The sequence below is a fragment of the Homo sapiens genome, chromosome 11 (assembly GCF_000001405.40).
Source record: "Homo sapiens chromosome 11, GRCh38.p14 Primary Assembly".
NCBI lineage: Eukaryota > Metazoa > Chordata > Mammalia > Primates > Hominidae > Homo > Homo sapiens.
In genome coordinates this window covers 89670279-89684101 of record NC_000011.10, presented here as the reverse complement: position 1 = coordinate 89684101, position 13823 = coordinate 89670279, and the positions used below count along the sequence as shown (strand labels likewise).

At 37.3% G+C, this 13823-nt stretch overlaps 1 pseudogene across 1 annotated transcript in view; it reads right to left on the bottom strand.

Moving 5' to 3' along the window:
• The window catches only part of FOLH1B (folate hydrolase 1B (pseudogene)), a 39451-nt pseudogene that overhangs the window by 14617 nt on the left and 11011 nt on the right, over nucleotides 1-13823 (bottom strand). Inside the window, exons 4-8 of the transcript NR_175944.1 lie at nucleotides 13627-13712; nucleotides 12096-12215; nucleotides 9933-10015; nucleotides 7934-7997; nucleotides 3426-3493 (exon numbers count right to left, since the gene is read on the bottom strand). The product of NR_175944.1 is annotated as a folate hydrolase 1B (pseudogene) (transcript). The remainder of the gene's footprint in view (nucleotides 1-3425; nucleotides 3494-7933; nucleotides 7998-9932; nucleotides 10016-12095; nucleotides 12216-13626; nucleotides 13713-13823) is intronic.

The following is a 13823-nucleotide window of genomic DNA, read 5'->3' as shown; positions in this document are numbered from 1 at the left end:
TGGGTGCTCCTGTGTTATGTGCATATATATTTAGGACAGTAAGCTCTTCTTGTTGAATTGAATCCTTTACTGTTATGTGATGCCCTTCTTTGTCTTTTTTTTAATCTTTGTTGGTTTAAAGTCTGTTTTGTCAGAAACTAGAATTGCAACTCCTGCATTTTTCTGTTTTCTATTTGCTTGATAGACTTTCCTTCATCTATTTATTTTGACTTATGTGTGTCATTGCATATGAGAAGGGTCTCTTGAAGACAGGATACCAATAGGTCCTGGTTCTTTATCCAGCTTGCCACTCTATGTATTTTAATTGGTGTATTTAGCCCATTTGCATATAAGATTAGAATTGAAATGTGTGGATTTGATCCTGTCATCATGATGTTAGCTGGTTATTCTGCAGACTTATGTGATTGCTTTATAGTATCACTGGTCTGTGTACTTCAGTGTGTTTTTGTTGTGGCTGGTGACAGTCTTTCCTGCCCATATTTAGTACTTCTGTCAATAACTCTTGTTAAGACAGGTCTGGTGGTAACAAATTCCCTCAGCATTTGCTTGTCTTGAAAGAATCTTATTTCTCCTTCACGTATAAAGCTCAATGTGGTCGGATATGAAATTCTGAATTGGAATTTCTTTTTTCTAAGAATGTTGAACATTGGCCCCTAATCTCTTCTGGCTTGCAGGGTTTCAGCTGAGAGGTCCACTGTTAGGCTGATGGGCTTCCCTTTGTAGGTAACCTGGCCTTTCCCTCTAGCTGCCTTTAACATTTTGTCTCTCATTTTGTCCTTGGAGAATCTGATGAGTATGTGTCTTGGGGATGATCTTCTCAAGTAGTATCTTACTGAGGTTCTCTGCATTTCCTGAATTTGAATGTTGGCCTATCTAGCTATGTTGGGAAAGTTCTCATGGATTATATCCTGGAATATGTTTTCCAAGCTGGTTCCATTCTTCCCATCTCTTTCAAGTACACCAATCAGTCATAGATTCAGTCTCTTTACATAATCACATATTTCTTGGAGGTTTTGTTCATTCCTTTTTCTCTATTCTTGTCTGCCTGTATTATTTCAGAAAGACAGTCTTCAAGCTCTAATATTCTTTCCTTCACTTGGTCTATACTGCTATTAATACTTGTGATTGCATTGTGAAGTTGCTGTAGTATTTTTCAACTCTATTCTTCTCTAAACTGGCTTATTTTACTGTCAGTTCCTGCAATGTTTTAACATGATTTTTAGCTTCCTAGAATTGGGTTACAACAAGCTCCTTTAGTTCAGTAAACTTTGTCCCTATCCATATTATGAATTCTACTTCTGTCATTTCAGGCATCTCAGCCTCAACCCGGTTCTGAACCCTTGCTGGAGAAGTGATGCAGTCATTTGGAGGAAAGAGGGCACTGTGGCATTTTGAGTTTTCAGTGTTCTTGTACTGATCCTTTCTCATCTTTGTGGGCTTATCTGCCTTCAGTCTTTGAGGTTGGTGACCTTTGAGTGGAGCTTGTTCTTTTCTTTTCTTTTCTTTTCTTTTTTTTAAACAGTCTAGCCACTTTTCTGCAGGGCTGCTGTGTTGTGCTGGGGGCTCGACTCCAATCACTAGTTGCCTCAGATTTTACAGTACCTGGAGGAATCATCGGTGATGGCTGTGAAACAGTAAAGAATGCAGCCTGCTTCTTACTGTGGGACCTCCATCCAAGGGAGTTATAGACATGTTGCCAGCCTGAACAGACCTGTAGGAGGTGGCTGGAGACCCCACTGGGAGGTCTTACCCAGACAGGAGGAAAAGGATCAGGGACCCAGTTTAAAAAGTAGTCTGGCCACGTTTTTGTAGAGCAACTGTGCTGTGGTGAGGGTCCACTTCAGCCCTTGGTTGTCTTGGACACTCCGAAGTCTGAAACCTGGGATGGCTAAGTCACCCAAACAGCAAAGATGGTGGTCTGCCCCTCCTCCTGGCAGCTCCATCCCAGGGTGTCCTAAAACCTCTGTTAGCCAGAGAACACCAGTGGGGGTAGCCAGAAACCCTAGTTGGGAGGCTCCACCCATTGATGAGGAACGCAGTTGGGGATCTGCTTTATAAGGAAGTCTGGCCACGTTTTTGTGGGGCCACTGTGCTGTGCTGGGGTGCTGCTTCCACCCCCCCCCCAAGTCATCTTGGGCTCTCCAAAGCCTAAAGGTGGGAATGGCTAAGCCACTCAAACAGCAAAGATGGCAGCCCACCCTTCCACCCCCACCTCCCTGCCCCCCACCACCCCCCAAGAGCTCTTTCCCAGATAGGCACAACACTGCTACCAGTGGCTGGCTGGAAATCCAAGCCAGTGGGTCTTATCCTGTGAGGTGCTGTGGAAGTGGGGCCTGCAGGCCATCACTGCTCAGGCCCTTGAATTCGGCCTCTTTTTTATGGGTATGTATGGGGGTCTAACCTCCTGCTGTGCTGGAGTTGCAGTTACTTTTGCCATGAAGCCTGGAAAGCTGGTGTATCTAAAGCTCCTGTGTCTCCATGCATGCCTGAGTGGCTGTTCTGCTAAGACTCCATGCAGCTGTGTATCAGACTGAAGGCCCTGGTGGAGTGGGTTCACGAGGGTATCTGCTGACCTAAGGGTTGCAAAGATCCATGGAAAAAGCATCGTTTCCTGGGGTTGCACATTCGCTCATCATTTTCCTGGGTGGGGGAAGTTCTCTTGACTCTGTGTCATTCCCAGGTGGGCCGTCGTCCTGCCTTGCTTTTCTCCATTCTCCTTGGGTTGGGTTGTTTCCTTGATTAGTCCCAATGTGAGTATCTGTTCATTTCAGTTGAAGGTGCTGTATTTACTTGCCCCTTCAATTTCTCTTTGTGAGAGCCACACACCATAGTTGCTTCTAGTCAGTCATCTTGGTCACTCCTCCATTCCATTCTTTTGCAACCAAAGCTTAATGGCATTTAAATTTTATTTATAATCCCTATCTGAAAAAATGTAATTGTGATCTCATCTAGCCTCTGTCCCTGGAAGCCAGCACCTGGTATTCTTATGAATATTCTTTCTCAGTCAATTGGATCATTTAATGATTCCTGTGTTCTGAATTAATTGGTATCACTATACTGAAGAGTATAAACAAGTTTTTTAATTAAGGAGTTGAGCCATAGGACCAAGTCTTGGTTCGGCTACCGTACAAGTTGTGTGTGACTTTGGTGGCCAATGTTCTTTGAGCTCAGTTTCACTGTTTTAAGAATGGAGATGGTAGACATGATGCTACTAACGGGCTACCTCACAGTGGTGTGGTGAGAAATGAGGCAATCTGTGTAAACAGTTTACTAGATGTGATGGTCTGTGAAGATGTGATGTCATATATGTTATATGAAAAGAAGACAAGAAGTTATAAAACAACACCAATGTTTAACATAATAATACCTCAAGAAAACGTCATTTGTAGAACTTGGGTTTTCCTAAATTATATGTAATTGTATACCTCTTTTGTTAGGTTGTATACCAAGCTGTACATCAGTGGTGTACAATCAACTCTCAGAGTGTAGTTTCCTGAAAAATAAGAAAAGAATAGATTTTAAAATTTAATTTCTTTCTGTTATTATTTTCTTCAAAGACCACTGCTAAATTCCTACCAGAATGATTGTTTTAAAACCTGATTTCAACTGTAACTCTCCAATGGCTTCCCAACTAACTCTGTAAAGTCCATCATCCTCACCATGGCCCACACTGCCATGTATGAAACCCCAGCTCACCTCTCAAAAATCTGCATTTTACATTCTGCCCAAGAATACTCCCTCAGCATCTTTGCACACACTGTCCTTCCAGCCTGGAACAGTATTCTGCATTATATCTGCATGACTTACTCCTCCTCCTCTGGTCTAATATCATGTTTTTCTGAGAGATTTCCCCTGATCACCCTACCTAAAATAGCACTCTCTTACCCCCTAATTTTAGCCACTCTCTCTTTTAACCTTGGCTCATGTTTCTCCATATTACTCATCTATTTAACATAAAACATATTAAGTACTTGTCTTTTTATTATTGGCCCTCCCACTAGAAGATAAGTCCCCTGGGGTAAGGTGCACTCTCTTGTTTGCTGCCATACCCCAGTGCTTAGAACAATCCTAGAATTTGGTATTTAACCAATCAATATTTGTTGTGACAATGAATTTGTGAACCAGATGCTCTTCTTAGAGTTTCAGTCCCCATTCCTCAGGAGGGGGCTGGTGGTTGCGACAATCAAGTGAAGCACCCAGGAGAGGTGTTCTTGGGAAGCCAAGACAGCACAGGGAGGGGCTGCTGACTCAGGAGGAGTTTTGGGGGAGGGAAGTCAAGACAACTTCACAAACTTGGAGAGGGGACTCTTGAACTGGGTTTTCTAGAATCAGGACGCAGTTGGGGGGAAAAATGGTATTTGCAGCTAAAGGCATAGACTGTGCAAATGCCCAGAAATGTAAAAGCACATGAAACACTCAGAGGATGGCAACTAGCTTTTATCCCAAAGCCCCAGATCCATGTTTGAGAACAGCAAAAGTTGAGGCTTTTAAAACAGTGACACCACAACAGAATTGTTTATGGAACTTAAAGATTTGATTTTAGATTCTAAAATTTATCTGGAAGAATAAATATGTACAAACAGCCAATGTAATTTTTAAAACAGAAGTGTTTATAGGAGTGGAAATTGGGGAGGGGAGTAGTTTGGCAGCATTTATTACAATTTAATTGCCCACATCCTAAGACCAAATAAATATACTTGTAGCTCTCTACCCTCTCCTCACATTATACCAAAAAAGCATGCAAATAAAATAATATTAACCACAACAAACTGAAGCAATCTGTCCAGCAGCTAGAAAATTGATACAGAATTTGTCCTATTGATTATAGTGTAGATTTTTGTTGTCTGGTGGTAGTGTTTGTTTTTTAAGTGAAACAGAGATATGTGCTGATATGGAAAGTTTTTCATAATGTGTTGCTGAATGAAAAAGGCAAGCTGTAGAACCATTTAGCTGTAATATGATACCAAATACCTGTTTAAGGTGGTGAGAGACAATAGAGTGTAGTGGTTAGAAGGGTAAAGTTGGAACAGACTAGTCTGATTTGAGTCTAAGCTCAACCCTTCACTAGCTGTGTGGCCTTGGGAAAGTTACTTAACCTCTCTGAGTGTCAGTTTCTTCTTTTATACAAAAGAGATAATAAAAATATTTACCTACTTATCTCAGAGGGTTATTGTGAGTACTGAATAATTTTTTTACGTGTAAAGCACCTGAGATAGCACCCACTATGCTTTTGGTGCTTTGTGAAGCTAAATTCTATATATTAATGCCAACATGATGGGAACACCCAAAACTGAGGACAGTAATACCTTTGGAGAGAGGACTAAGTTTGAGAGTAGTTTGCATTGAGGAGTTTTGCTTTATTTGTAAATTTTACATTTTAACATTAGAAATTTCAGAATCTATGATTATTTGTATTATTTGAGAAAGAAAAATTAATACAATGTAAAAATATAAAACAAGTGAGATGAATGGTGTCCCAATCATATAGTACCTCCTGTCCTTTGTTCTCGATTTTGAAAATTATAGAGACACAATGAAGCAATTTCAAGCCAGGGATGACATAAGTAGCAAAGCTTAATGAGTTTTTAAAATACATTAAAATATCAAATCTTAAAAAACTATGGCCAAGTATTGTGCCACACACCTGTTTTCCCAGCTACTTGGGAGGCTGACGGGGGAGGTTCAGTTGAGCTCAGGAGTTTGAAACTATCCTGGACAATACTACAAGATCTCATTTCAAAACAACAATAACAACAACAACAACAACAACAAAAAAAAACAGAAAAAAACTATCAATAAAGAGAACGTTATTCTACATTTCAAGAAAATATATTTGGAGTATTTATTCTGGGTGGGCATATAATATACATATATATATATACACATATATATATTTCACCTTATTATGTGTTTTAAGTAGGTGTAATGATCCTAATCAAAGTTAACTTTTTTTGACATTTACTCTGTGCAAGGCACAGGTCTGGGAGATTTGCAAATGTAACTTTTTTTGCCCTTACAGGAGCCTTTGAGATAGGGGCTCTTAGAAGTTATATTTAGATGTGAGAAAACTGAGGCACAGAAAGTAAATAGCTTGGGTCACACAAATGGGAAGTTGCAGGGCCAGGAATGAATCCAGGCATCTGACGCCAAAGGTCAAGCTCTTAGCCACTACCCTAAGAGAAGGAGAAAAGAATAACCAAATGCACTGTGTAAACTAACTTTCAGAACAGTGTAGCTCAGAGGCATTGACAAAGAAGAAAAGGAAGGTTGGGAGCTGTGGCTCAGACCCGTTATCCTAGCATTTTGGGAGAACAATGTGGATAGACAGCTTGAGCCCAGGAGTTTGAGACCAACCTGGGTAATATGGTCAAACGTCATCTCCACTAAAAATACAAAAATTAGCTGGACGTCTAGCGTTTGCCTGTAGTCCCAGCTACCAAGGAGTCTGAGGTTGGTGGATCACTTGAGCCTGGGAAATCAAGACTAGTGAGCCATGATCACTCCATGCACTCCAACCTGGGCTGCGGAGTGAGACCCTGACTCAAAACAAACAAGCAGACAAACAAAAGAAGAAGAACGGAAACAGAAAAAACAAACAAACAAACAAAAAACAGAAAAAGAACAGAAACAAAAAAAGACACAAAAAAAAAACAGAAAAAGAAAAAGAAAATGCCAACGTGACTCCATCAAGGTCTCATGTTCCGAGTGTTGACATGGCAAATTTACTAATACACTAAAGAAAATATTCTAAAAAATTCCCCCTTCATTCATTTAGTCCTTTTTTTTTTTTTTGCAACCGTACCACAGATATTTATTTAATAAGACATTAGGAATCTAGGAGTGAATAAGCAAGATACTGTCTGTTCCTTGTTAAAGAATACAGTCTATTACTTGTAAAACAAATAATTACTTAATAATGACAGTGATGAATGCCATGAAGACATGTCTTCCCTGAAAAAGTAACATTTCAACGGAGGGTCTAAGGATAAGGATTAAACACATAAAGAGGTGTTGAAGAGCAATCTGAGTGTAGAGAACAGGAGTGCAATGACTGGGATGTTGCATATGGTCAAGATATAGATATATTAGTGGAGCTGGATTGTAGTGACAATGGACTCTTTCATTTTCATGAAAATCAATCTGAGATTTCCTTTAGTTTGGTCCTTTGCTTATTAAACGTATTTCCATTCTTCAAAGTCAGCCTCAAATGCCTATCCCCTTTCTCAAGCCTTTCCTGAAGTTTCTATTATTCTTTCCTCTGAACTCCCAGAGTGGTTTTATCCTACCCTTTCTAAAGTACCTGCATACATTATAATTCAAGATTGATTTAGCATATTATCTATACTGAGTGCGCCACCACGCCCGGCTAATTTTTGCATTTGTAATAGCTATGGGGTTTCACCATGTTGGCCAGGCTGGTTTCGAAATCCTGACCTGAAGTGATCCACCCGCTTCAGCCTCCCAAAGTGCTGCGACTACAGGCGTGAGCCACCGCACCCCACAAATGATACTTTTTTTCTACACCATTCTAAATTATAGAACTCTTTAGGTCCCTGAGTTAATCATTCAACAGATACTTACTAAATTCCTGCTGTATATAAAAAGAAATCTGCCAGATGAAGCTAATCAAAGAATGCTGCTTTTCTGAATTAGTACTCTATGCTGCAAAGCAAAGAAAAAAAAAAAGTAAGAAAAGAAAGAAAAGAAAAGAGAAAAGAAAACAAAAGGAAAGGAAAGAAGAAAAGAAAAACCTGCTCACCTAGGGCTCACCCAACTCTCAACTAGGGTTCACACACTGCTTCCTGTCAGAGGTTGCAGTAGATTCCCTAACCACACGTTAATACATAGCCTTCCTTGTTAGTGCATAATTTATTAGCTAGACTGCTGCTCCTAGTTTAATCACATCTTTTCTTATGAGACCAACGATATTCACCTTCTATAGATGAGTCAGCATTAATATAAGCCACGCCACGCTCTTGAAGGAGTCTTGAATTATCCTACAATAAAAAGGAAAACTATAAATATAAAGTTATAACCCCCTCCCCCTCCCCCACAAAATGCACATCTACATTTAATGTATGTAGATTTCTAATTGAGCTGACCCATATTAATGACAAATTTGACATAAGAAATTCTCATAAAAGAGCTGCTTTGAAAGAATTTCAATAAAGATTACTGGTAGGAAACAACAAGCAAAACTTGTTAAAAGCTAATATTTAAGATGAAATTGTCCATATACTTATGGTAAGTGGAAAAAGAGTTAATTTCTTAACCATACTGTAGTTTATCCTTCAAAAAATTGTCTTAGCAAACATGAATGACCTAAGAGACTTTTCAGTGAAAATCTTCCTATAAACATCTCATTATTTAAGCAGAGAATCTTGTCTGATTCATATGGAATGAAGGTATTTTAAGTGTATGAAATTTCAAGTTAAATTTCATATTATGAAAAATAAGTGAACTTAAATCATCTCCTGACCATGAAGTCAGGCTCTCCTGTAGGATGGTACCATCTCCTGGTCAATATTGATAATTGCACACTTTTAGAACAAAGCGTAGCAAAGTTTTTTTGAGATATCAGTGTGAATTCTGAGTCTCTAAAATACGTAATTTCCTAAGCATTCTGACTATAAGATAAAAAATGAAAAAAATGCAACTGTAAGTGAAAAAAATAATTTGAAAGACACAAATTACATCATCAAAATATTAGGTTCTTCCAGATAGTGGCAAAATTCTTTCTTATAAAACTTTGACTAAGTCTACAGGAGCACCATTTTTTTTTCAAAGAAAATTAAAGTCCACAGGGTTTCACATAATATCTGGAGTATGAAAGGAGCCAATAAATATTTACAGCGTGACTGGAAATTAATGGAATAAACATTGACTTTGCATATATTTACTTTATAGCTAACATTTCTGTTATATAAAGCCAACAATACATGCAGGTAAAATTACTTTTCAAATGGCTTAGTAAATATTCTGTGGTGGAAATTTTTGCCTTACTTTTAGCATAATTTAACATAGAGCAGGTCATTATGAATTAAGAAAGATAAATGAAAAGTATACCTTACGGCCAGGCGTGGTGACGCACGCCTGTATTCCTAGCACTCCGGGAGGCCGAGGCAGGCATATCACTTAAGCTCAGGAGTTTGAGGCCAGCCTGGCCAACACAGCAAAACCCTGTCTCTATTAAATATAAAAAAATTAGCCAGGTGTGGTGGCACATGCCTGTAATCCCAGCTACTCAGGAGCCTAGGGCAGGAGAATTGCTTGAACCCGGGATGCTGACACTGCAATGCGCAGAAATCACGTCACTGTACTCCAGCCTGGGCAACAGAGCGAGACTCTGTATAGTTAGCTTTAGGAGATATTTTGGAAAGCGTAATAGAATCGTGATAGAAATCAAACATGATACAGGAAAATTTGGCTTCATGGTCAGGAAATAGAGACAATTTAACTTCATATTTTTCATAAATTTGAAATAGCTTAATTCCCTTTGAATCAGACAAGATTCTCCATTTAAATGACATGTTTATGGGAAGATATTCACTGAAAAGTCTGTTAGGTCGTTCATGTTTGCTAAGACAATATTTTGAAGAATAAACTACAATATGATTAAGAAACTAACTCCTTGTTTTGATGTTTGGTTTCTAGCATATCTACTTATTTACTCTCATACTCCCAGGAAATAAAGATCAATTAATTTTGACAATTGACATTAAGTGGCTCTAAAAGGTTCAAACAAAACTTAGTTCTTTAGCAACAGAGATTTTTATTGCTGATTTTTGAACAAGAATATGTTACTCAGATTTTGGGGAAAAAACTTTGAATACTTTCTCATTATATTCACTTCTTATTTTTACATGCTTGGCAAATAATTCCTGGCTACTTCATTTTATAAAAATTTATATTATAGCAAATTACCAACTAACCTCTGCCCACTCAGTAGAACCAAGAAGACCAAATTCTTCTGCATCCCAGCTTGCAAACAAAATTGTTCTTCTAGGTCTCCACCCTAAAATGTATGTGTATATATAAATGATAGAAAAAAAATTCATAATATACCCAGGACACTACCAAGCCCAGATTGGGGAAAAAAAAAAAAGTCATTGATGGTTTGGGAAGGGCAAATTGTAGTAAAAAATCTTTACTTACATAACTTTCTTTGGTAAGATTTTAAAGTTGTCAATACAAAATAGCACAATTACATAGAAAAGGGGGGAAATGTGACAGTAAAAATCTTGCAAGATCATAAAACATTCTAATAGGTTTATAATGATTCGCTATGCATAGGAAGTCATTGGTGGTCTGCAACTGCCTAGAACAAAGAAAGAAATTTCTAGATGCATTTGGTATTCTGAAAGCAGATATAACTGAAAGAAAATCCTTTAGAACTCTTTCCTGTTGTTCTGACATCAAATGAACAATTGTTCAATATCAGCTGGTCCGTATGATTTCACTCCATTCTCTGCCAGAATTAATCAACAAGGGCTCAGTTAGCAACAGCAATGTTTGCTGTTGCTGAAAACCACATAATTCAATAGAGGGGTGATGTGTCTCGGAGGTTATAAACACTGACCTTGGAATTAAGGCAAGATCTTGTTTCAAACCCTGGTTCTCTCACTAGCAGCATGACTGAGGGAAAGTTATTCAAACCTACTAAACTTCCATTTCTTCATCTGTATACAAGGAACAAGAGAGTAAAGATGAAGACACCACTTGATTGTGGGAGGATTAGATGGAATAATGTTTAGAAAGCACTGAGTAGATGCCCCCAAAATTGCGAGTAGTCACCATCTTAGTAAATACTCATGTGTGCTTAAGAATGTGTATAGTATAGCTGTTAACTCGAGTCTTTTGTTTTTGTCAATAGTATTATTCAAATTTCCTATTATTATTTATCAACATTCCACTTATTTGGCATATTCTATAATTGTCACAGTGATGTTTTGTATAGTTACCACAGGAATTTCCTAGAAAAATCATGAAACATTTTTGTAATAAAATTAAACACTACCTACTTCATGAATTATGTAAATTTAGGTCTCCATTGTTTGTTTTCTTCAAATATAAGATAGCTGTGTAGAAAAAAGAACTAAGTGCCTTTACATTTTATTTTAAATAGAGACATCATGGTTTTGAGGACTGGTAGTCAGAAATTTCAGTTTGAGCCCTGATTCTCTTATTCTGCCACATGCTAGCTACATAATCCTGGGGAAATTACTTGATTCTCTAAACCTTGGTTAACTTATCTGTAACATGAGAAGATAAGTAAATATGTCTTCTCCCTAGTTGCTATGACTTCAAAGAAGATAGGACATATAAAAACAGTTTCTCAAAAAAAAAGTAAATACTATGCAAACAACATACATTATTGTTTTTATTGTTGATAAAAATATATAGATTACATTTTACAGCCCCAGACACCTTGTTTGCAGGGTCAATAAAGAGAATGAACTTCCTGCTCTCAATGTGTAATTATTATTTTAAAAAGCAAACATTTGAACTAAATTTTACTTTGGCTTTCATATGAAGATTCTAAAATGGCTAAAGTGGTGATGTTACGAGTGTAAACCTAATTTTTGCGAGAGCACACCAGGGCTCAGGATGTGAGAACACAGATTCCAAACTTTTGACAGAATCCCATTAGACCTAAGACCAGTATTTCTCCGAATAGAGCATCTATCTCCTTAATTACTCTGCACACGTAATCTGAGGTCTGGGGTTAGAAGAGACGGAGGAACGTCTGCTTACAGTCTCTGACTAGGAAGCTTTGGCTTATAATCTAATTTCAGTGTGTTTTCTCTAGTGATGTAATAACCCATCTTCATCTTCTTAGTTGCCAAGAACAACCATTAACAGTATAATTCCTTTATTTCAGATTATCACTTAATACATAAATATCAATAATATATGTGTTATATAAATAAATGCAAAAATAAATAAACAATATAATTAACCAACCAACATTAAAAATTGTATTGGTATTTTTACCAAACACATGTAATGGTTGAGGTAGTATTTTTATACTCCCTTTACAGAAGACTAAACTGAGACTCAGATAGGTTGGTTTTTTTGCTGTTTGTTTGTATTACCTTCCTTTTTCAGTGTTCCAAAGCTCCTCACAGTTTCATGAACAACAGCTGCTCCACTCTGAGGGTCAATACCACCAAACACCCATGAGTCCCGGTGACCTCCCAGAATGACATATCTGTCTAGAAAGCATAGATACAAGATTATTTGTCATTTCAGGTCAATAAAAGAGAACATTGCAAACAACTCAGTAGCATCTAAATACAAAGCACTCATGACTCAAAAAAAAAAAAAAGGCTAGGTTCCCCAAGATTTGTGAAAATATGTTATTTCTGATTTTAATATGTATTTCTTCTATCTGAGAAAGCATACATGTGATAAAGCAAATATATATTGAAATGTATTACCATAATTATAAGTACTACATTAAGTAATTAAGAAAGTTTAACGTTATCCTTATTCACATTTTTTGTGTGAATAAGAGAATACTCCTCTCTTACCTAACTTACCACTTTCGAATATATTCAAAATAAGAGAACATAGTGGCCACATAGGAAGTTCTCCAATTCCTATTCTTTCTTTTCAGTTTTTAAGGTACAGCTCAAATATTTTCTCCCTCTATTCAGTTTTTAGGGTACAGCTCAAATATTTTCTCCCTCTATGCAGTTTTTAAGGTACAGCTCAAGTATTTTCTATAGAAGAGGGAATTTCTTTGCCTACCCAGCTATCAGGAGTGATAAAGCATTGATCACCCTTAAGCATATGGCTCCCTTCACAAACTGTCAGCTCTTTGCCTCGGGTCTGTGTCTTCTTTTATCTCCCCATTTCCAATGCTTATCACAGAGCTGGCACAAAATAGGTACTCAGTATTATTCAATAGTAGCCACTTATATATTGTTTAGTACTCTTTAGAATATGCAAACAACAAGGATATCAATATTCTTGATCTAAAATAAATCATTAGCTGCTTGTAAGAAACATGCAATTAATATGTTTAATATGCATTTAATAGTATCTGTTTTGGTAAGAAATACAGAACCAAATAGTTCATAAGAAACTGAGCCTTCACGAACTAAGACTATGCATAAAATGTATTAATCAGTAGATCATCTGAACTTCTATGGAAATCATATGTCCATATATTTTATCAGTGGCTTTAGTGGTAGAAAATAAAACTATGCAAAGGATTATCTTAATTTTCTAAGAGCGTGATATTTTATATAGACGTTCATAGTTATCATGAAGATATTTCTCTGTGCAAAAATATGGTAAAAAAAAATTCAGAAAACTCAGAAGAAAACAAATCTTTCCCTACTCTGCTTCCCTTCATCCTTTAATTGAGGCCTGCACAATTGATCATTCACCTTGGTCATTTGCCCAGCCTAGCACCAAATGTTCACTTCACCACCTGTACCACAATACAAAATTATTTCATATTTATTTCTTTTGTTTTTAGGTGAGTTCCACTGATTTTCTTCGTTTGTTTGTTTGTTTGTTTGTTTGTTTTGATTCACTTTGCACTCCCAGAGCTTGGTAGTATCCAGCACATAACAGTTACTTGATCAATATTTGCTAAGCAAACGATTCCTTTACCTGGTTCCACTGCTCCTCTGAGAGTACCTATCACATTGTAAATTCTCGTCACTTCATTGGTAGAGTGGATGTGCATCTTGACTTTTCTAATGCAAAAATAAAAGACATTCTTTGAAAAAAAACAAAACAAAACTGGTTAACAGATTAACACTATAAGGGTTAAGGGAATTTTCCCCTCTGCCTTTGAAGGTTCAAGT